We start from the raw sequence: 25,588 nt of genomic DNA, 5'->3' as shown, positions 1-25,588 counted from the left end.
TGGAACAAGGGAGCAGGAGTCCATAATGGTGAGAATAAAATTTTGGAATAATACAGACTTGGGTTCAATTCTGGCTCTGCCACTTTACAAGCCGCACGGCTTTGGGCAATTTACACAACTTTACCAAGGCAGTTGTTCCACCTATGAACTTGGACAGGTGGTGGGTACAGGTGACGGAAGGGGGTGTTTGCCATGTGCACAACACACTCAGTGCACCTGAGAGCCATGGGTACAGTGGAGCTCCAGCACAGGCTCTGGGTGGGCTTAAAGGCCACCACGCTCCTCTATCAGGCACGTGACTTCACATCCTTTCGCCAATGAGGGGGAGACAAAATGATCTCTCAATATGTCAAACGATAGTACAGAAAAGTGATTATGTTCTTGGGCCTTGTGGGCAGAAAGTTGAGGTTCAAATTGCATTGCTGTTCCACTGCCGAACAGCTGGTGGCCCTAGCCAGTTATAAAACCATTTGCCTAAATTCCCTCCTCTATAAAATGAAGATAAAAATATTGTTTCATAGGATGGATGCAAAGATGAAATAAGATCACAATGCCTGGCATGAAAAGAGGCACTCAATGTCAGATATTACTGTTAAACAGACAGAACTGTTTGCTTTTTTTTGACCCTGAAGAATGATTAATTAGAAAACTATTTTGTGCTCAGGCCCCTGATGAGGATCTGAGACATACAGGAAAAGTCTGAGGTACAGTTGCTGCCTACATTTATTTTTCTCCAAAATTTTTTTTTTTTACTGTGGTAAGGTACACGTAACATAAAATTTCGCATCCTAACTATACTAAAGAGTACACATTGGTAGTGTTAAACGCATTCACAACGTTGTGTGTCTATCACCACCATCCATCTCCGCAACTCGTCTTGTAAACTGAAACTCAGTCCCCATTAAACAGTAATTCCCTTTCTTCTCTCCCCTCAACCACTGGCAAGCACTCTACTTTCTGTCTCTGTGATTTTGACTACTCTAAGTACCTCTTATAAATAAGCTGACACGGTATGACTGGCTTATTTCACTAAGTGTAAGGTCCTCAGGGTTCATCCATGTTGTAGTGTGTGTCAGAACTGCCTTCCTTTTAAAGCTGACTCATATTTCAGTAAATGTAGAGGCCACATTTTGTTTATCCACTCATCCTTTGGTGGACACCTGGGTTGCTTCTACCTTTTGGCTACTGCACATAATGCTGCTAGGAACATGGTGTACAAATACTTCTTTGAGACACTACTCTCAATTCTTTCGGGTATATACCCAGAAGTGGAATTGCTAAATCATATATATAGTAATTCTATCTTTAACTTTTTGGGGACTTGCCAAACCGTTTTCCACAATGGCTGCACCATTTTACATTCCCATCAGTAATGCATGGGAGTTCTGATTTCTCCACATTCATGCCAAGACTTGTTTTTTTTTTTTTTCTTGTTTTGTATAGTGGCTATCCTCATGGATGTGAGGTGGTATCTCATTGTGGTTTTGATTTGCATTTTCCTCATGATTAGTGATGCTGAGTATATTTTCATGTGCTTCTTGGCCATTTGTATATCTTACTGGAGAAATGTGTACTCAAGTCTTTTGTCCATTTTTGAATGAGGTTGTTTTATTGTTAAGTTTTATGAATTCTCTATATATTCTAGATATCTATCCCTTATCAAATAAATAATTTGCAAATATATTCTCCCATTCTGTGGATTACATTTTCACTCTGTTGAATGATTCTTTCACTCTGTTGAATGATGCAAAATATTTTAAAATTTTCATGTAGTCCAATTTATCATTTTTCCTTTTGCTGTCTGTGCCTTTGGTATCACATCCAATAAATAACTGCCAAATCCAATGTCATGTGAAGCTTCTGCTCTGTATTTTCATCTAAGAGTCTTACATTTAATCCACTTTGAGTTAATTTTTGTATATGACGTTAAGTAAGGGTTCAGTTTCATTCTTTTGCACCTGGATATCTAGTTTCCTTAGCACCATCTATTGAAAAGACTGCGCTTTCTCCACTGAATGGTGTTGTCATCCTTTTCAGCAATCATTTGACTACATTTGTGGAGATTTATCTCTGGATTCTCTATTCTGTCCCACTAGTCCAGATGTCTGTCTTCATGTCAGTACCACATTGTTTTGATTATTGTAGCTTTATTATAAGTTTCAAAATCAGGAAGTGTGAGTCTTCCAGCTCTGTTCTTCTTATACATTGTTTTGGCTATTCAATGTCCCTTGGGATTCCATATGAAGTTTGGAATGGGTTTTTCTATATCTGCAAAAAATTTCATTGGGATATTGACATGACTTGCATTAAATCTGTAATTGCTCTGAGCAGTACTGACATCTTAACAATATTGTTTTTCAACACATGAACATGCGATGTGTTCCCGTTTATGTCTCCTTTAATTTCTTTCAGCAATGTTTTATAGTTTTCATGGTACAAGTCTTTCACCTCCTTGAGTAAGTTAATTCCTAAGTATTTTATTATTTTTGATGCTATTATAAAAGGAATTGCTTTTGTAATTTCCATTCCGTCAGTATTAGTAAATAGAATGCAACTGATTTTTGTGTGTTGACTTTATATAGTTCTACTTTACTGAATTCATTAAAACATGAGTTTTAATGGTTTTTGTGTATGAGGGGGATGGAATCTTTAGGGTTTCCCATAGATCATATAATCTGTGAAAAGATAATTTTACTTCTTCCTCTAATTTGGATGCCTTTTCTTTTTCATGCTTAATTGGTTTGGTTAGAACTTCTAGTAAGATATTGAATAAAAGTGATGAAAGTGGACGTCCTTGCCTTGTTCCCGATCTTAGAGAAAAAGCTTTCAGTCTTTCATCGTGGAGTTATGTTTGCTGTTGATTTTTCACTTGTTGGGTTTTCCTGGCTTTTATTATGTTGAGGCAGTTTCATTATATTCCTAGTTTGTTGAGTGTTTTTTATCATGAAGAGATGTTGAATTTTGTCAAATGCTTTTTCTGCATCAACTGAATTGATCATGTGTTTCTTTCCCTTCATTCTATTAATGTGGTGTATTACACTGATCAATTTCAGTATGTTGAACCACCCCCGCATTCCAGGAATAAATTCCATTTGGTCATGGTGTGTAATTCTTTTAGTATGCTGTTAAATTCATGTTCATAAAGGATGTTGGTCTTTAGTTTTCTTGTAGTGTCTCTGTCTAGCTTTTGTACCAGGGAAATGCTGGCTTCATAAAATGAGTTAGGAAGTGTTCTCTTCTCCTCAATTTTTTTGGAAAAGTTTGAGAAGGATTGGTATTAGTTCCCCTTGAAATGTTTGCTAGAATTCACCAGTGAAGGCATCAGGTTTAGGGCTTTTCTTTGTGAGATTTTTCATTGCTGATTTAATTGTCTTACTATAACTAGTAACTTATAGTACTTACTATAGTACTTACTATAACTAGGTCTATCCATATTTTATAATAGGTTTTGAGTTTCTAGGAATTTGTCCATTTCATTTACATTATCCAAACTGATGGTGTACAATTGTTCACAGTGCTCTCTTGCAACCCTTTTTATTTCTGTAGAATCAGTAGTAATGTCCCCACTTTCATTTCTGATAATTTGAGTCTTTTTACCTTAGTCCACCTAGCTAAAAGTTGGTCAACTTTTGTTGATCTTTAAAAAAGCAACTTCTGTTTTCATAATTTTCTCTATTATTTTTCTATTCTCTAGTTTGTTTTATCTCTGCCCTAATATTTATTATCTTCCTTTTGCTAGCTTTGGGTTTACTTTTTCTATGTCCTTATCTAGTTCTTTGAACTTTCTTATTTTTTAATGTAAGCATTTATAGCTATAAAATTTCCCCCTTAGCATTATTTTTGCTGTGTCCCATAAGTTCTGTTATGTTGTCTTTTCATTTTCATTTGTCTCTAAATATTTTTTTCTTCTTTTTTTTTTCTTTTTTAAAGTTTTTAATAGAGATGGGGCTTCACCATGTTGCCCAGGCAGGTCCTGAACTCCTGGCCTCCAGCAATCCTCCTACTTTGGCCTCCCAAACTGCTGGGATTACAGGTATGAGCCACTGCACCCAGCTGACCTCTAAGTATTTTCTAATTTCCCTTGTGATTTCTTCTTTGATCTACTGGTTAACAGTATGTTTTTTAATTTCCATAAATTTGTGAATAGTCCAGTTTTAGTTCTATTTCTGATATCTAACATTATCCAGTTGTAGTCAGAAAAGATACTCTGTATGATATCTTTAAAAATCTATGGAAACTTAATTTGTTACCTAATATACACTCTATCCTGGAAAATGTCTTCTGTGCACTTGAGAAGAATGTATATGCTCTTGTTGTAGGATAGAGTGTTCTGTGTATGTCTGTTAGATCTAGTTTGTTTATTAAGTCCTCTGTTTCCTTACTTACCTTCTGTCTGGTTCTTCTATCCATTATTGAGAGTAGGGTAATGAAGTTTCCAACTATTACTGTAGAACTATTTCTTCCTTCAGTTTTTGCTTCATATATTTTGGCCTGTTATCGGTCTGTGCAAATGTTTATATCTGTTGTATCTTCTTACTGTATTGAAACTTTAATATATTATGTTCTTCTTTGTCTCTTGCAACCTTTATTTGATTTAAAATCATTTTGTCTGATATTAGTCACGTCTGCTCTCTCTTACCACTTCCTTATACTATCTTTTTCTATCCTCTTATTTTCAACCTATTTGTGTCTTTGGATCTAAACTGAATCTCTTGTAGACAGTACAGTTAGATCAAGTGTTTTTATCCATTCTGTTAATCTCTGTCTTTTGATTACACAGCTTGATCCATTTACATTTAAATAATTACCGATAAGGGCTTATTTATGTCATTTTGCTATTTGTTTCCCATATGTCTTATAACTTATTTCTTACATTATTGTCTTCTTTTTATTTTTTGTACTGAAATGTTTAAGTTCCTTTTTCATTTCCTTTTGTGTATATTCTATAGCCGTGTGTGTGTGTGTGTGTGTGTGTGTGTGTGTGTGTGTGTGTGGTTACCATGGGGATTACATTTAACATTCGAAAGTTATAATACTCTAATTCTAATTTATGCCAGTTTTACTTCAGTAACATCCAAAAATGCTGCTCCTTTAAAGCTCTGTTTACTCCTTTCGGTTAACATAAAAAAAATTAAAACCTTATATGCTGTGTACCCCAAAAATAAACTAGTAATCCTTTCAGACACATTAGTCTCTTAAAATATGTAGAAAACAAAATGTGAAGTTATAAACTAGCTTGTATATTGCTCATGAATTTATCTCTATTGAGATCTTTATTTCTTCATATAGCATCAAGTTACTGTCTGTTGTCTTCTCATTTCATCCTGCAGGATTACCTTGAGCATTTCTTACAAGGCAGGTCTAGTGGTAACAAACTCCATCAGCTTTTGTTCGTCTGTGAATGCCTTAATTTATCCCTCATGTTTGAAGGACAGTTTGGACAGACAAACGATTCTTAGTTGACAGTTTTTTCTTTTTGCACTTTGAACATTTTGGCCCACTGCCTTCTGGCCTCCAAAGTTTCTAATAAGAAAACTGCTGGTAATCCTATGGATTATCTCTTGCATGTGATGGGCTGCTTCTTCCTTGCTGCTTTTAAGATTCTCTTTATCTCTGTCTTTCAAAACTCTGACTATAATATGTCTCCTTGAGTTCATCTTAACTTGGAGCTCACCGAGTTTCCTGGTTGTATATATTCGTGACTTCCATCAAATGTGGAAAATTTTCAGTCCTTATTTCTTCAGATATTCTCTCTGCCCTTTTCTCTTTTTCCTTGTTTCCCACAATGCGTATGTTGGTTGGCTTGATGGTGTTCCACATATCCCTTAGGCTCTGTTCACTTTTCTACAACCTTTTTTCTTTCTGCTTGTTGGACTTAATATTTTCCATTGTCCTAGCTTCCTTCTCCCTGCTCAAATCTGTCTTCGAATCCTTCTAGTAAATTTATTTCAGGTATTGTACTTTCAGCTCCAGAATTTCTCTTTGATTTATCTTCAGGTCTTCTATCTCTTTGCTGACATTTCATTTTGTCCATATTGGGCTTTTTGTTTTGTTTTGATTTAGAGACAGGGCCTGGCTCTGTTCCCCAGGCTACAGCACAGTGGCACAATCTCAGCTCATTGCAACCTCCACCTCCTGGGCTCAAGACATCCTCCCACCTCAGCCTCCCAAGTAGCTGGGACTACAGGTGCACACCACCACGCCTGGGGCTAATTTTTGTAGAGATGGGGTTTTGCCATGTTACCAGGCTGGTCTCAAACTCCTGAGCTCAAGCCATCTGCCCTGGTAGGTGCTGGGATTACTGGTGTCAGCCACTGCACCTGGGCTTGTCCATATATTGTTTTATTGATTTTCCACACGTTCCTTTAGTTCCTTGAGCATCTTCAGTAAGACCCTTGTTTTAAAATATAGTAGATGAATCCAAGAATGGTTTCTGTTTGTTTCATTTTTTCCCCCTTGAATGGGCCTACTTTCCTGTTTCTTATGTATGCCTTATGATTGTTTTTTAAATGGGACATCTGACTCTAATAATGTGGTAACTCTAGAATTCAGATTCTAAGACAAAGTGTTTGCTACTTTTGTTACTGTTCATTATTATTATTATTTCTGGATTGTTGCAGGCTGTCTCTGTGCCAAGGATAAGCCTGAGGTGTAAATTTAAGATCTTCTCAGGTCTTCTCCGAGCCTATGCTATTCCCTGGGAATCTACGGTGACTTTCTAATTTTCCCTGTATATACAGTTATTTTTCAATGTCCTAGTATTTAATGCCTGGTTCCCAAAAGATGCAAAAGAAAAATAAAGGGAAGAGGGAAAAAGGGTGCTGGCCTTTTAAATACCCAGAAAGCCACTTCAGCCAGAGGTGGAAGGACTTACAACAATGGGGGCAGATGCAACAATAATGGTCTCCACTCCTTTGTCTGTACCTCTGTGATCAAAAGCTGAAATCAGTAATCAGAGCACTGACCCCAGATATTTGCATGTCAGGGTCTTTTTGGCCCACCCTACCTGGCTCCCACAAGCTGCTTGCAAGATGCTCTAGGAACAGTGTACAGCAGCTGTCTGCCATAGGACTGGGGATGGAGGAGGAATAGCTGCTACTGAGCTAGAGCTGAAATTGACAGAAGTTAACTCCACTTTACCATTCAAGCCTTCTTGTGGACATTGCAAGACTTCAGTGGACTTCAGCGTACCAAAACAGTTACATCAGATTCAGTACAAATGTTGTCTAGGAGATTCCTGGGACCTCCTACCCATGAATTTCCCTGAACCCTCTCCCACACAAATCTGTTATTACTGTTGTTGTTACAAGGTCTTTATCTTGAGGTCAACAAAGACAGGTTATAGATTCTGGGTATCACAGAAAAAGCTAGATCACATCACCTCGGTCCATAGATAAAAACCTCTATCAATTCAGTTATCAATACAAATTTGTTTTCTAGCTGCCACCATATACCCATGGATATGTGATGTGTTTACTGCACTTTGTAAGTCATTGTTCCCAACTAGCATCTGATGCCACTTGAAGATTTCATTAAATATGACACGATTCTTAGAGTTTCCTCATTTTCCCTTTACCAATTTTCAACTAAGGGATGGAAAGTAAAGACAATCACTATGGAAGGGGGACACAGCAGAGATGGTGCCTATGTTTACTCTAAATATCAATTTAGTGCCTTGAGGAGAGTTAGATGCAGAGAAATAAACACATAATTACAAAGTACTATAAAAGCTACAATGTTAAATTACAGGATAAGGTGAAACAATAAAAAGGGGGCCTTAAATTTGAGTTGGGATCATGAAAGACTTATCTTAAATAAATAATATTTAAATCAAACTCAAAGGTGAGTAGGAGTTGGCCAAATGTAGAAAGGGGAGAACTCCAGTGAGAGGAACAGTATGTGCAGGTCTCTGTGAGCTGCAGGGGCAGTGTGGGATATTAGAAGAGGGTGGCCAGAGTGCCGGAAGGGAAAACAGGACGGGCTGACTACACTCAGCAGGTAAGAGCGTGGGGAAGGCAAAGGAAGGTAGGAAGGTAAGTCCCTGCTCCAGAACTTACTGCATACCCACTGTACCACCATGTGCCAGGGACTACCAAAACAAACAAACAAACAAAAAACGAAGAAGTAAACATGATGTGCTTTGCTCTCAAGGAGCTCACAAAAAAGTACAAGCGACAGACCCAGCAAGGGCACGTCACAAGATGCTGAGGGCACAGAGTCTCCCAGGTGACCTGAGTGCCTGCCCCCAAGCCTAGCAGGGGGTGTGCCCACCTACCATACTGAAACCTTCATGGGAGCACACAGTGTCTCTTTTTTGATCAACCATTGTATCCCTGGCAGCTAGAACAGTGTGCAGCACATAACATGCCAGCTACTCAATAAACACCTGCCGAATAAATCCATGAACATAATGATACAGCAACTGACTGAATCCAGCAACATATAAGAAGGATAATATATGAAAAGTTGGTTAACATTCAAAATTGGCCCTACCGGATACCAAGATCATAAAGTCACGATGATTACAAGAGTATAGTATCAGGCCAGGGACAGAGAATACAGCACAGGAAACAGAATCATGCCTGTAGGACAATGATTTATGACAAGGCGGTCCTGCAGAGCCAAGGGTGAAATGAAGGTTTTTAAATACTGAAACGGAAACAACTGCATAATCGCAGGGGAAATTAAAAAAAGACAGAATCCCTACTGTACATCATAAATAATTACAATTCTGATAGATTACAAATCCAGATAGAAGGCAAAACTGTAAAGCCTTTAGCATACTTTTATGACCTCAGACCTCAGAGACACAAAAATCACTAAACATAGAAGGAAAGACTGATAAATTTTACATTAAAATTGGGAATTTTTATTCATTAAAACATCATAGAAGTCAGAACAGAAGTTACATCTGGGGATTGGCAGTGAGGGAGACGGGACACTCAAGAAGCCGCCTAGGGAGATGGGCATGTTCTGTATTTCCATCTGGGTGATGCGTACATACATCTGTACTTATGTCAAGATGTATACTTAAAAATTTTGCAGTTTACTCTATTTAAGTTATACCTCAATGAAATAATAAGACACCATGAGGAAAGTAAGAACAAAGATGGATGGGAAAGACTATTTCAACACATACAACTGAACAAATAATTTTTATCCTGGATATAGAAAAAAGTTCTTAAAAATCAGTTTTTAAAACACCTAACTATGGGCAAAAAATCTGAACAAACTCTTCATGACACAAGAAATCCAAATAGCCAAAAATCACAGAACTGTGTTTATTAATATTAGAGAAATTCAGCTGGGCACCGTGGCTCACATCTGTAATCCCAACACTTTGGGAGGCCAAGGCAGACGGATCACCTGAGGTCAGGAGTTCAAGACCAACCTGACCAACATGATGAAACCCCATCTCTACAAAAATTAGCCAGGTGTGGTGGCGGGCACCTGTAATCCCAGCTACTCATGGGGCTCAGGCAGGAGAATCACTTGAACCCAGGAGATGGAGGTTGCAGTGAGCCGAGATCGTGCCACTGCACTCCAGCCTGGGTGACAGAGCAAGACTCCATCTCAAAAAAAAAAAAAAAAAAAAAAAAATTGGAGAAATTCAAATAAAATCACAACATATTATATTCCTCAGAATGGCAAATATTACGAGGTCTGACTGCATCAAGTGTTGGCAAGAAGGCAGAGTGAAAGGAGCTTTCATATACTGCTGATGGAAAACAGGTACCACTACTCTGAAGAGTTTGGCATCATCTAAGATAAAGATATACATGCCCTGAAGCCCAGAAATCCCATGCCTAGAAAAACACCCACACATATGTGTAGCAGGACACATGCACTGTATGTACCAAGATGCTCACAACAATAACTGTAATAGCCCCAAAGTGGAAATATGACAAATATCCACCAACAGTAGAATGCAAAAATGTTAAAATTTCTTGCAATGAAATGCTATAAAATAGACCAAACACAATTTTGGTGAATCTCAGAGTCATGATTTTGAATGACAGGAAACAAAAGAATGCAGGCTATGATTCCGTTTATATGAACTTCAAAGACGGCCAATCTACCAGACATGGTTTAGACACACTCTGGAGCTGATGATGGGGAAGAGCAGGGAAGGCCTGGTGCTGGTCAGGCCAGCGGAGGACTAGATGGATTCCTCAGGGAAGGCTGGCAGTGTTTTTGCCTCTCGACCTGAGTGTTGGTATGTGGATGTCTGCTTTATAATTATTTGCCAAGTGTATACATATATATTGGCTTCACTTTTCAGTATGCACGTTACATTTCAAAATAAAAACAAGAAGTTTTAAAAAAACTAGGATGACTGAAGTGAGACCTGAAGTGTGAGGGGGATCTGCCAAATGCAGTTCACAGGTTGCATCAGGTAGACAGCACCAAGAAATACAGCCCCTAAATGTCAAGATGTATACTTAAAACTTGCAGTTTACTATATGTAAGTTATACCTCAATGAAATAAGACACCATGAGGTACTAAGATGGATGAGAGAGACTATTTCAACACATATAACTGAACAAATAATTTTTATCCTGGATATAGACTCACAAATGTCACCATGATGTGCAGTGCCTTCCCAGCTCAGATGCCTGACTTGCTTTTTCTGCATCAGAAACCTAGCAGGGAGAGGAGGTTGGGGTCTTTCACAATCATCATTTTCTTCTTGAAAACCCATTAGGATTTCCTGGTGCTTCCTAATTATGCCTGGAGGAAACTGTGCTAGGTTCGTTTTTTTTTTTTTTTTTTTTAAAGAGACGGGTCTCACTAAGTTGCCCAGGCTGCTCTCAAACTCCCAGGCTCAAGCGATCCTCCTGCCTCAGCCTCCTGAATAGCTGGGAGGCGTGAGCCACTATGCCTGGTAATTGTACTCGTTTCTACAAGTGCTTTAGGAGAGAAACACAAAGGAAGTAGTTTTGATTCTGATACACTTTGGCTTCTCTCAAAAAACTGGGAAAATATTTTGACTTTTCTACAGGCTTTTCCTATCTTCAGTCAGAAAGTGCACATCTCTATCTGAATCTGACAGAGTCATCATTCTCTGAGCTTCTTGGAGAATGTTAAAGTTAGGTCATTTTCCAAAGACGAAGGCAAGACTCTCTTGTAAAAGTTAAGTCTCGTCATATTCAGGTGAAAAATCTTAAAGGCAAGGCTGGGTCCTTCTCATAGAAACTCGAACCATTTCTATTCGTGCTTTTCCCTGGCTTCTGTCCACCACTGAGGCTCTTTCACAGCACAGGGCCTGTTTTCGGCTGTGCTCAGTTAACCCTGAAGAAAAGGTCTGTCCATTCCCCAAGACGACTTTCCCGGCAGCTCACAAAAACCAACCACCATTGTTGGGATGGCCGGGGTAAGCAAACCACCCTGGCAATGCCTGCGGCCACGGGGTCCAACATCTTTTCTCTTGACCTCAATGAAGATTTTAAGACTAAAGAATGGTAAGAGTTGAAAAGGTGAGCACATCTAAAAGTTAGCTTTATTTTTATACTTTCTCCAATGAAGGGATAATGTGGATCTACAAAACCACAAGGATCAGAAAGCCCAAAGCAGCCAGAGGCTTCCCTTTTCCTCCAGCCACCCCATCTCACTCCATAAGAAGCAGTCAACTCCAGGCAGAAAAGCAGACCTCTGAATTCCCTCCAAGTTGCTCAGAGTCCAAGTCACTTATCATTAGAAGAAACACAAATGAGAGATGTGCAGGTTGGGTCAGAGCCTCTGAGTAGGCCATCCTTTCTTCTACCACCCCTTAGCGTTCTGTCCTGTATTATCACAATGGCCTGTTTCTCCAACTAGACGGTGATCAGAGCTTGCATCTTCCTTAGGTTGGTGGTCCCACCGTAGCACACGGCCTTTTCATTTCCTGGATAAGGAAATGAGTGCCTGCTTATAAGTCCCATTAGAGATTTTCCTTCGAAGAACCCTTCACAGAATCCAACAGGCCCAATACGTTTTTGCTTTTTAATGTATTGGTCCTAGAATAACTGGTACAGAGAATAGAACACTTCCTGATCCTGATAGAAATGATCATCTCAAAATAAAACAGCCCAGGAGTTACAGTCCAACAGTGCTGAATGGCTGTGACACACTCACGTTTTGACCAGGCCCTTGGTCACTGCTAAATGTGACTAAGGTCTTTTTAGACAAAAATCCTGACAATTATCAGGGTTACTGGAACATGTTCCTTTATGCCAAACTTTGGCTACCCAGTCTCTCAAGTGTCTCACAAAATATATAATCTGTGTGGCAATGGTATTTAAGTTTCGCAATTTAAAAAGGTATTAACTTTCTCAACGTATCCAAAAGTCACTGCTGTTTTTAATTAATCTAATGCAAAAAGAAAAATTGGCAAATAATTAACTTCATAAGAAAATACATACATTAAATGATAATAATAATGTATACAAGCACAGACCACAGGCCAAGAACTCATCTCAGCACTTCATGCACAGGCAGTCACACTTCCCTCCAGTCTCAATCCAGCAGCTTTCCTGAAGGTAAAGCTTCCTGCATGGGACTGCTGTGATCACAGAAGTGCCCTAGTGGTTCTGAGTCAACTACAATGAATACGTCAGTGATGTGGCTTGGTAAAGCCACCTGGGGACAGAGTGAGACATCATTATGCAGCACGGCAAGGGTGTCCTGTGACTACCGAACTTTGTGTTCGTTCCGTGCAGAGACAGGCTCAGTGGAATCAGAGTGTGCTTCCTACCCACAGAGGCAGCATTTGAAGGAAACCATCAGGCATGTGGATTTTGAGCTGATACTTTAGGCTACTTTAGGCTTATGATCTGATCTTATACATCAGATACAAAATTTCTAAAATACAAAGTTAAGAATTATAAAAGCCTATTCTATTCTATTCTATTCTATTCTATTCTATTCTATTCTATTCTATTCTATTCTATTTTCTATTCTATTCTTCATACTACAGAGAAACCAGGAGGAATGCAGGATGGCTACTCTGTTAAATGTACTGTTTGAGTAAACAATTTTGAAAAACAAGTATTGCATGTAGCTTCTAAATTTAAAATACTTTCTTAAGCTAGTAAGCTTACAACTGGTCTAGAATAGTGACGATTAAGGTGAAATTATTTAGGCATGGATTTCTCATGTTTTCCCTACGTGTCAGACTACGCAAGTTTTAGGCATGCAAAGAAGCCAGAGACACAGTGCACCAAGGTCAGGCCCCAGGATGCTGCCATCAGCCTGCATCAGTCACGGGGCTTGGCTCTAAGGAGCAGGTCCTTAGGAACAGGCAATCAGTGTCCACATACAGTTTTGTTTCTGTTTTCAAATAAATGTTACATGGTGGCCCTTAGAACATTAACAGCAACCACTGAGAAGCACGCTTGGGAAAACGCAGCAGACAGGCAGCTGAAGTAACCGAGAGCAAGTCCAGGGAAGCAGCTTCCCACACCTCTTTCACACAGCTTCCTGCGTGATGATCCCTGCCCCCTGATCCCTGATCCCTGCCCCAGGCTGTTGATCCCTGATCCCTGCCCCGGTCCGCTGAAAGCGAGGGTGGTCACCTTCAAACCAAAAAGGACCGCCCACATGGCTCACACTGAGAACCTCGCTCTGAAAAACAACAGGCTGGCGTCTTCTGACTGATGTGAGAATAAGCATGCAGAGTCTTGCTTTTAACACAGGTAAACCAGACAAGCAGAACCAGATGCGCTTTGACTCCTGAGAGCCAGGGAGAGCTGAGCAACCAGGCTTGGCAGGACAAACGCAAGGCACTGGCCTGCAGGAACACAGAGGCCTGAGGCAGAGAGAGGGACGCAGTGACCATGGCTCTAAAGACACACAAGTGCATAACTGTTAATGCCCTGGAAAGAAGCCAGGCTGTCTGCCAATCCGTACACTGTAAAACTCCCAGTGTGCTGACACAGCTTTAGCTTCTAGCCTCTGTGATTCTGGAGGTGTAAGAAAATGAGAGGCACAAAACCAAAAGCTGAGTAGACAAAACCTGAAGGAGCACAACTTGGAATATTTACTTGTACAGTCTCATTTTAAAACAGTTTGACTACCTGCCAAGATACCTGAGCGAGGAAAGGAAGTCTCTTTTCTGAAAGCTTATGCATTCCAGCATGTCTTTCTCCAACTTCCAGCTTCTCACCCTGGGAGCCCGTTGCTAAGGTACTAGGAGAGCTGGCTAAAGCAGGTCCCCCTCACTCTTTCACTAGGGATGAGTCTGTTTGAATGGTGACTCCTGCATCTGTGTAGTGGAGGCAGTTGGTGGCGGTGGGCTGCTCTTACTGGTCTGGGCTGGGAGCATCACCAATTCATCTCACAGTCCTGCACCCGGCAATCAGCTCCCTTCACTCATACAGGGCCCTGGGAGGCCTCTGCTCACCTGTGAAATCACCTTCTGTGTGTGCACTTGTTTGTCTTCATTGATCTGGTTTACGCAGATAAATCACACTAGCTGAGGGTGGGAGAATTACTATACAACTTAAAAAAAAAAAAATTAAGGCTGGGCAGGGTGGCTCACGCCTGTAATCCCAGCACTTTGGGAGGCCAAGGCAGGGGGATCACTTGAGGTCAGGAGTTCAAGACCAGTCTGGCCAACGTGGTGAAACCCCGTCTCTACTGAAAATACAAAAATTAGCCAGGCGTCGTGGCATGGGCCTGTAATTCCCGCTACTAGAGAGGGTGAAGCACAAGAATCACTTGAACTCAGGAGGCGCAGGTTGCAGTGAGCAGAGATCGCGCCATTGCACTCCAGCCTGGGCGACAAAGTGAGACTCTGTCTTAAAAAAAAAAAAAAAAAAAAAAAAGTTAAATCAATGGGAAGCCATACCAAAAAGATTCTCTCTTAAAAGCAAAACAGCACTAATGGGTTTTCAATAACTGAACAATTAACACATAGTGCTTATAAGCTGTTTAATCCTGAGAATGTAGAAATCAGCGGAAGAGAGGCCGCCCCTCCAGAGGAAGAAAGGCTGGCTTTGGCAGGAAGATGTCCTAGTCATTCACTGCATCAAACAAACGTCAGGATGGCCAAAATGAGATATTAAAGCAGACACACACTGCTTTGTGAACACAGAGCAGGCGCTCCTGGCATGGAAATTCATTGCTATCTTTTACAAACCACACCGAGCCTAGCCAGCTGCGCCATCTCGAGGTGTTTAAGACACTTCCCTGAGGAGCCTCCTTCCGGCTGCTGTTTGGCAGGCCTGATACCACGCTAGATTCTCCACCAAGAAGAGTACAGAACAGAACATGTTCCTACATTTATTCTAAGATTCCTGCATTCCCAAAGATGTGGCACTACAGTTCAGAATTTCCCAAATGGAAGCTCCAAAATGCACATGTGACTAATAAAGACTCCACGAGGTTCTGCAAGCCAGAACATCTGCTTCACACAGGCTTTCTCACATTTTATTAAAAGAAGGCTTCTCCCGTATATTACCTATTAAGATACTATAGACAAAATATGCTTTGGAGCACATTTTGGAAACAGTCCCCTGGGTTCACAGGGTCCAATGTTGGGAATGCACTCAGGGTACAGGAACAAGATGACATAGTTCCCACCTGGGATAAACTTTCCTTGGGGGAAAGGTTACATATCTGGGTATTCTGGTGTGTCATGTTCAGGGAGAGGCACAGCCACCCAACCCAACTATAACACGCCAAATGGAGGCACTCAGCTCACTGAAGGGATCTAGAAAGAACTCTGAGAGGAAGACATACATGACCGAAGTCTAAAAGGAGGAAAGAGAGGAAACGGGAGAGGTATCTGTTTCCCAAGGAGCTACTATCTCAGTGCTCAGCACTTTCTCCTGATTATGATCTAAGATCAAAATAGGGCAGTGAATTTTTATTTATTTATTTTTATTTTTTAGATAGAGTCTTGCTGCAACACCCAGGCTGGCGTGCCAATGACACAATCTCAGCTCACTACAACCTGCGCCTTGCAGGTTCAAGCGATTCTCCTGCCTCAGCCTCCCGAGTAGCTGGGACTAAGGGTGCGTGCCACCACGCCTAGCGAATTTTTTTTTTGTATTTTTAGGAGAGACAGTTTCACCATGTTGACTAGGCTGGTCTCAAACTCCTGACCTCAAGTGATGCACACACCTCAGCCTCCCAAAGTGCTAGGATTACAGGCAGGAGCCACCGCGCCTGGCCAGACAGTGAATTTTATTGAGTGGTTACTACGTGCTAGATGCTCAGTAGGATTAATGAAAGATTTTGTATCCAACACAGATGTATAGTCACCTGTCCCTCAAGGAATTACAATGGAAAGAAACACTGACATTCATCCTTTACATGGATGAAGGACCTGTGTGGAGTTTAAACGTCTGAATTAGGACCAAAGCCTTGGAGTGAGAGAAAGCTGGGTTTACACCCTGGTCCCATCACAAGCCAGGAGAGCTTGGACCAGCTACTTTAACTCTCAAGAGCTTTAGTTTTCTCACTTGTAAAATGGAAACAATTTTTTCCAACAAAGAGGACTCTTCCAGTGACACCATGAAAAAGGAAGGAAGGAAGGCAGGGAAGGAGGGAGGGAGGGAGGGAAAGGAAAAAAGTGAAAACAAAACAGAAAAACCCAAAGAGAACTGTTCTGAAAATGTAGCACAGGATTTGGCATACCAAAAGCACTCAATAAATGATTTAAACAATTTTAATACGAGTGCAGCAGAATGTCCTACCTGCACTGCTCATCTTAGGTAAGTTCTTTCACGTGTACTTCCATGTGACTCCCCACCACAGGAAGACTGAAAACATGTCCAGCATCCTCCTCCCCTGCCAATCCCTACCCTTCTACCCCACGTAACTATTATTCTGACTTCTATTACCATAGATGAATCCTGCCTGTTCCTGAACTTCAGGTAGATGAACTGTACAGTACATGGTCTTTTTGAATCTGGCTTCTTTCACTCAGTATCATGCTAGTGAGATTCATCCATGTGTTACACATAGCAGTTCACTCCTCTTTACTGCCGTATGGTATTCCATGACATGAACACACCACAATTTAACTACCTATTCCACTACTGCACATCTGGGTTATTTCTACTTTGGGGCTCTGAAGAATAAGGCTGCTGTGAGCATTCTTGCACGTGTCTCCTAATGCAGCAGTCCCCAACCTTTTTGGCACCAGGGACTTGTTTCATGGAAGACAATTTTTCCAGGACGGATGGGGGTGTGTGGTTTCAGATGAAACTGTTCCACCTCAAATCATCAGGCATTAGCTAGATTCTCATAAGGAGCATGCAACCTAGATCCCTCACATGTGCAGCTCACAATAGGGTTCACGCTCCTATGAGAATCTAATGCCGCCACTGATCTGACGGGAGACGGAGCTCAGGTGGTGACTGATGCTCACTCACCTCCTGCTGATCTCACCGGAGACGGAGCTCAGGTGGTGATTGATGCTTGCTCACCTCCAGCTGTGCTGCCCAGTACCAGGTCTGCGGCTGAGGGGATGAGGACTCCTCTTCTAATAAACATGTATCTGCATTTCTCTTTGGGGATATACTAGAGTGGAACTGCTGATTCACAGGATAGCTGTATGTTTAATGTTAGCAGACATTCCCAACCAAAAAGCTTTCCAAAGCAATTCTTCCTATTTACATCCCACCATCATGTATTAGTTCAGGCTGCTTCATATCCTTGCCATCACTGAGTATTGTTGGGGCTTTTAAATTAGCCATTCTGGTGGGGTCTAGTGGTTACTTGTTGTGGATTAAATTTGCATTTCCCTGATGACTACTGATGCTGAATTCATTCCATATGCTTACTAACCATTTGGATTTCTTCTCTTGTGAAGTGGCATGCAAGTCTTGAGTCATTTTTAAAAACTGAATTGTTTCTTTTCCTTGTTGTTTTGTAGAAGTCCTTATCCTCTGTCAGATATATGTAACGCAAACATCGTTTCAAAGTCTTTCTCTTACAGTTAGTGTTTTTAAGTTAGCCTTTGTGTGCCTTAAGAAACGCTTGCCCAATCCAAGATAATAACCAAAGTCATCTGTGATTCTTCTAGAAGCTCTTTTGTTTTACCATTCACACTGAGGTCTATAAATTCAACTAGAATTGACATTTCTGAATGGTGTGAGTTAGGATTCCCAGGTCATGTTTTCCCCACTATGGACATTAAATTGGTCCAGCACCATTTATGAGAAAAACCATCCTTTTCTCAGTGAACTTCAGTGAGGCCTTTGTTGACTGTGGGTGAATCTGTTTCTGGATTCTATTCTGTTCGGTGATATTATTTGAGTTTCACCACTGACCCACAGTGCAATCACAGACGAAAATTTACCTTTCTTATAGGAATGAATAGCTACATAGGATATTTGTACAAAAACACTTATTTGTTGAGAAACTATTTCTGGGCACTTTATAGGCATGATAACATTTCACACTCACTATAACCCTGTTGGGGTAGGTCCCATTCTACAGACAAAGCTAAAACTTAGAGAGATAGAGTGCAATGCTCGGAAATTAAGGGGTGGCAGAACTTGAGTGTGGGTCTGCCTGGCCACAGGACTGATGCCCTTGCCACTGTGCCATTCTTCCTCAACATAGGATTACCGGGAAAACTACTGTTCAGTGATTATTCCTATAAACTCTTACATTTCTGTACAGAAGTGAATTTTGTTTTCTTACAAATTAGGTGTTTCCATTAAAAAAAAAAAAAGAAATGAAGAAAGGAAGAAAAAAGAAAAAAACAAAAAAACCCAAAACAACCCAGTCTGGACTCTCATTCTATCCCTGTCCCCACACCCTCCCCCCAGTAAAAACAATATGAAAAAAAAAAAACAAACCCACATCAAGGACAACCGATCAAAACACAGATCAAAAAAGAATGAAAGAAAAAACACTTCAAATAAAGTTCAGCTGTTTCTATTTGGAAACAACAACAACAAAAAATCCCACAATAAACTGACAAATAAGAAATTGCCTCTGTGGTAGCGGAGCTGGAATTTTCCGATGGCATTGGCTACTGTGTCATTACTGTGGGTGACCCAAAAGTGAGTTGGGCGAGTGAACAGCTGGGCACTAGTTGGGCTCGTGTCCCTGAGGAGGCAGCAGTCAGGGCGGTCCTTCAGAGTTAAGCTTCCCCTTGTAGCTGGTGCCTTTTCCCTGGATTTGGAAATCCCTGGTGGTCTCTAAAAGCTACCTCCAAGAAACGGAAAAGGAACCCTTCCAGCCCCATCCCCTACTGTGGGGCAGTTTTTGCTTCTAATCTGCTCTGACAGGCCAGTTTGGATTTCCTAACCCGTAGGGTGGCCGACAAAAGTGGAATGTTCTATACAGTCCTGACTGCAGATGTCCCATGGGGCACGGGTAGACTCCTATCCAAAGGCATCCCAGGCCTCACTCCTGTCCCAAGAAGGACATTATCCAGAGTGCTCAGAGAAGAGTGGTGGTGTTATTAGTGGATATTCGACACCAGCACTAATTCCTAGTCTCAGCATGCCCAAAATATCTATTGCTTTTTAACACAAAATACTAAAATTAAATTCAATAAAACTTGGATGGTGCTAATTACTAGAAAAATGGGTTAAACCAAATTTTAAATAATATGACTGACAAACCAAGAATACTTAATTTACCCGAGTCAAAGAACTCATGGGAGACATTTCTCTTGAGCTTAGAACCACCCTCTCCCCCCAGATAAATAAATACACACACATGCACACGCACACATACACATATTTCACCAAGCTGCTCTTTGCTCATTTATTTGTTCATTCCTTTTCCCATTCAGGTATCTATCTAAGAAATATTTTTTGGTTATCTACTACATGCAAGACAATGGTATATTTATATTGAGGTGAAACACAGAAAACTTGATCCCTGCCCTTAGGAAGCAATCCAGCGGGTAATCCAGACATAAATGCACACATATTTAACAATAACCTGTGATGAGCTGAAGGAACAGAACAAGTTTTGGCAGGGATCGGAGCGGGTGGCCTATCTCAGCTGGGACTTGAGAGAAAAGACACAGAACGCTGGGTGTGAAGCATGAGGATGACCAAGCCCAGGAGGAGCACAAGCAGAGATGTGCTTGGACAACTGCCTTCACGCAGGAACTGAGATCCTTCTCGGAAACAAAAACGTAGGTGTGCCTGGGGAATGCTGAAGAAGGGGAGAACAGCACTGGATACAAATGAAGAGGACCTTTTAGAATGTGATAGACTAGGCTTATTCTGAGGATGATGGGCCGTCTAGGAGGCTCTGTGAACAGGGGCATGCTTATGCAAGGTGGTGTGGGGAGTGGGAGAATCAGAGAGGAATGATCCAGTTTTGGTTTTCAAAGATCATGACACTGAATGAATGGGGAATCAAAAATCACCTGGACCCAGCAGGAGCAGAAACTGAAAGATGAGTTAGGAAGTCACTGCCGAAGTTCAGGGCCAGCAATGATGCAAGTGTGGACTGGATGGTGGCACTGGGGATAGAGACAATATCATCATTGTGTGAACATCACAGAATGTACTCACATTCTAGGCTATATTACCTAGTAACCTACTACACACCCAGGCGGTATGGTATACCCTACTGCTTCTAGACTATAGAACTGTATAGCATGTAACTGTACTTAATACTGTAGGTGCCTATAATACAATGATAAGTATCTGTGTATCTAAACATAGAAGAGGTACAGTAAAAATACAGTATTACAGCCTTATGGGACCAAGGTTGAATATGGGTCTGTGTTGACCAAAACATTACTATGTAGCACATGACTGTATATACTTTATACAAGAAACACATCTCAGACAGAAAGGTTGAGAATAAAAGGACTGATAAAATTGTACCATGTAAATACCAATCCAAAGCAAGCTAGGATAGCTATATTAATATTAGGCAGAAAATCATTTTTAGAGATAAAGAGGGTCACTTCATAATGATAACAGGACTATTTCTCAGGACCTATCATACACCTTTACTTAAAAACCTTACCTCAAAACATATAAAGGGAAAATTTATGTAATGAAAAAGAAAATTAGATGAATCCATAATCAAAGGTTGACATTTTAAAATACCTCTCTGATAAATCAAAGTAGACAAAAATATCAGTAAAAACATAAAAGTTTTAAATACCACCATTTACAAACTTGACCTAATGTATGTATAAACATTACTATACCCCACTACTGGAAAACAGACATGCTTTTCATGCTCACATAGAATATTTGCAAAAACTGACCATATTACTAGGTCATAAATCAAGTCTCAATAAATTTCATAAGACAGAGGATATCAAGTAGGTGCTATTTGATCACAATGCATTTATACTAGAAATCAAGCTCCAAAAGATAACTGAACAATTCTCAACTGTTTGGAAATGAATTTCTAATAATCCACGAGTCAAAAAAGAAGTTATAATAAAAATTGAAAAACACTTTTAAATGAATGGCAACAAAGTAATACATACAAAAATCCATGCAATGGAGTTCAAGAAGTACACAGAAAAGAGTAAAACTGAAAATTAATAATCCTAAATAAGCGGACAGATATAAGATGTTCTTGGGTTGGAAACTAAGTACTGTATGTCAATTCTCATCAAATTCATTTCAGTCAATGCAATTTCAATGAATAACTCAGTATGTGGGGGCTTTAAATTGTTTTTGTTAGTGGTAAACGAGGTTTTCTGTGTGTGTACAGGTATATACATGTATGTGCATGTGCACACGACCAAATGTGTAGAATTTATACTGATTCTAAAACTTTTATGCAACAATACAAATGACCAAAAATGGTCCTAACACTGTTACAAAAGAAGAGACAAATTGGAAGAACTGACTTATCCTTTATCAAGACATATTGGAAAGCTATAGTAATTAAGACCATCATACTGATGCAGGGATAGACAAAAAGATGAATGGAAAAGAAAGCAGAGTCCACAAACAGACTCAAAACTTGTATCAATTCTTCTGATAAAGGTGGCGCTACAGTGAACAAACACATGTTCTTTTCAGTAACTAGGGCCAAGACAATTGTGTGCCATCTGGAGAGAATAGAAATAGATCCTAACACACTCCGTACACCAAAGCTGACTCTAAATGAATTTGACATATATATATAAAAGGTAAAACTATAAAGCATTCAAAAGATAATATATTATTATCATCATAACCTCAGGGTAAAGAAATACTTCTTAAAACAAGATACACGTGCAAAAAACCTTAACTATAAAGGAAAAGAGATGAATTTGACTAAAAGTAAAGAATTTCTGTTATTCAAAAGAAACTATAAAGAAAATGACAAGGTAATCACAGAACAGGAAAGAGAAAATACTAGCAACACATGTAGCTGACAAAGAACTTCAATCTAGAATATATAAAGATGTGTTAACAAATAATAAAGAAAAATATCCCAATGGGCAAAAGGTTTGACCAAGGACATTGTAATGTATACACACATATGCACGTACACACACTCACACACACCTCAAATAGCAAACACTTCAGAAGATGCCAAGCCTCATTTACAGCGTGGGCAACAGGGAACGGGATGTGCAGTCCTAACTCCAGGGGAAGCACAAGGGAGGGAGGGGAGGAGGTGGTGTACAGGAGCTGAATGTTCATGTCATAAAATAAACAGGTCACACCAAAACTTGATATATCAAGAAACAGCAATAAAGCATATTATTTAGATATACAAAAGTACCTACTAGAAGAAATAGCTAAGAGAGTGAATTAAAAAGTGTAAAAAGTGGAGCTAGAGATATTGTTCCCTTATTGAATGCCTTTTGGAATTTAAAAATCCCCATATAGGTGTATTATTTTCATGAATTAAAAAAATAAAGGAAAAAATGCACAAGAAAGGGGGGGAAAGAGTGAATGGGAAGCGAGGAGTAAAGTAGGAGTCATTAGATAATTCTTTGGGAATGGCCTGGAAGAAGCATCAGTGTGGTTTTACCTAGGGAATAAGGTGAATTTTGAAATTGTATCATGTCCTTATTTACTTTAGTACTACGAAGGCCAGATTTTAATTTATAGCTCAGATCTAAAAACTGAATCTCTAGGCTGTAAGGCTTTTTCGTTTCTGACCATTCAACTACCATTCTCCCTTTGCACTGATATTTCAGTATGTGTCTCATATCTTACCACATTTTATATGCCTTTAAAATCTGGTAAGCTTAATAAATACAACTCCAAAGAATTACTGAATACACATAACACTAAAGATGCTTGTGATATTTTATCTTTTCTTAATGATTCAGGAGATTCCGTGATCTTGCAATATTTCACTGATTATCATTCTAAAAGCCAGTTATCCAGCTAAAGATATAGCTATCCATATAAATTTTTCCATGTGTAACTTTGAACCATTTCTCCACTACATGAATATGTTTATGTGGTTCTCTGCATGTGCTCTGTCTCCTCCCGGTGACTTTTAAGAAGGCAGTGTGGGGAAGTGGCTAAGGTCAGGCACTCACATGTATAAAATCTGGTTCTGACCTCTGGGCAAGCTAGAGACTCAGTTTTATTTCATCATCTACAACATACGGATGATAATCATAGTATCTGCTTCATGGTGTTGTCAGGGTTCAATAAGGCAATGGGTGTAAACACACAAGAGGGACTGAATGAATGTTTCCTGAAGGAAGAACTGAATGAACGGATGGCCATCTGGCAAGGAGGACACCAAGGTGGAAGGTGCTGCGAGCATCTGTAGGCCTACAATGTGCTCGTGTACAACAGTCTTTTTATTTTCTGGTCTTTGCTAAAAGCCAAAGACGCAATGAACACCCTGCTTCACTGGAAGGTCAATTCAGGGAATGTAAAAGTAAACTGTGAGTGAATTTCTTTTTTCATAATAAATCATCGTTTTCATTGGGAAATGCAACATCTGCAATTGTACCTGAACATTCTCGTACTGCTTTCCCATGACTAGAAGCTTTCTTCTTTTTTCTTTCCTTTTTGGGGGGCTAAAAAAATGTCAACACTCTTTAATGAGCACAGCCTTCAGGGACTCATGATAATGCCACGCACTAAACCAAATTTGCTTTACCCTGCAGAGGAGTCTTCTGAGGCTGTGTATTTGTCTTTTCCTGACTGAACTTACAAGCTACTGTGCTCTTTAAAATAAGATTGTTTTCTATTGCTAATCAGACAAATGACAGTATCTTCAGCACAAATAATAAGCATCGCTCAGTCTACTTACTTTGAAACACATGATTTTCATCAGCTGCTTTTCTCTTCTTGGCAGAAGCCATAGTTTTATTTTTAAAATGCCCCCCTCCTCAGTCTCCTCAATGCTAGGCTAGGCTCCTCACTGCCTCCCGCAGGCTACGCTCCCAGTCCTTGCAGTAGCCTTATTCACCCCTGCCCCACCACCAGCCAAGCAGTGACCAGGACAAGGGACACAGCTAAGTTTGGCTTTCACCAGGGAAGTTCGTGAAATTAAACAGTAGGTTTTATCTCAAATCTAAACAAGCTGTATCCGGTCCCTGGTTAGTCACCACTGTACAGTTTTGTATAGTACAACTAGTTGAACTGGTAGGAAAAAAGCAGGGTCCCTGCAGAACACCCTCCAGCAAGGGTGGCCAACCCAAGCCAGGGCAAGAGCCAGTGCTCTCAGCTTCTGCCGCAGAGGGCTGCAGGACAAACCCTCCGAAGATGAGAATTCAGCACCACTGAGATGCTCCTTCCTCTTGCTAGGGAGCCAGAGTGCTCCTCATGTTTCTACGTTGCCAAACCCTTGTTAAAACAGTACTTCCAAAAGACTGGGTACTCAGAATCTCTATAGCAAAACAATATGCCATAGTTCGTGTCTACTCTAGAGACCACACACACACTGGAAAGGTGACACCGGTGATGCGCAGCACAGTGCCTTGCATGGGCTGCCTGTGCCCCAGGTTTTAAAGTGCTTTTTGGCCACATGCTCATTTGGAATGTCTTATTCACCATGAAAAAACTAGCTTACCATACTACAAAGGTTACAGAAATGATATTCTAGCACCATAACTCTGAGAAAATGATTTGGTTCTCAGGAACAAGTAAACAAGCAAGCAAGGCAGCCAGCTACATACTGAATGAACATGAGGCAAGGGACTTGTTTTGCTAAGGGCCCCGGCTGTAAACTTGTGCATGGTAATTCACATGCAAGGATACAGGGGTTACTGTCACTGATGTTGCAGTTGTCCAGGATCAACGGGATACCATCCAGCTCATTTACCTAGAGAGAAAGAAGATAAGTTTATACACTGAAAACAGCATGGCTATAGTCAGAGATTACAGATGACTTGTTCCTTTTGTGTTTTCTTACTCAATGTTATAATATTGTTTGCACTATTATCTGAAATATCTATATCAACCCAGAACTACATAAAACAGACATGTAAACAAAAAGTGATATTTTATTTTATTTTCACTGGACTTCAAAAAAAAATATTGGGGCAAGTAGGTAGCCATATAAAAAAGAATCTAAGTAGATCACTTCCTAACATTGTTCACCAGGATAAACTCCAGATAGATATGAGATCTAAACTTAAATAATAAAGAAAATCAGTACTAGAAAAAAACATGGGTGAATTCCTCTTCTAAGCTGGGAATAGGAAAAGCTTTCCTAACTATGATTCAATCCGGAAGCAACAGGGGA

At 40.2% G+C, this 25,588-nt stretch overlaps 1 protein-coding gene across 3 annotated transcripts in view; it reads right to left on the bottom strand.

Annotated features, from left to right (window-relative positions):
* ATXN10 (ataxin 10) overlaps positions 1 to 25,588 on the bottom strand; it is a 173,474-nt gene that overhangs the window by 13,184 nt on the left and 134,702 nt on the right. For 2 of the 3 annotated variants that reach the window (NM_013236.4, NM_001167621.2), the window contains one exon: positions 25,102 to 25,165. In NM_013236.4, coding sequence (NP_037368.1) covers positions 25,102 to 25,165 — 64 coding nt within the window. Of the gene's footprint in view, positions 1 to 19,689; positions 20,114 to 20,330; positions 20,427 to 25,019; positions 25,166 to 25,588 lie in introns of those variants that run through there. The other variant, XM_047441314.1, reaches the window with a different exon arrangement.

Source organism: Homo sapiens, chromosome 22 (assembly GCF_000001405.40).
Source record: "Homo sapiens chromosome 22, GRCh38.p14 Primary Assembly".
Lineage (NCBI taxonomy): Eukaryota > Metazoa > Chordata > Mammalia > Primates > Hominidae > Homo > Homo sapiens.
This window is presented reverse-complemented; position numbering and strand designations above follow the sequence as displayed.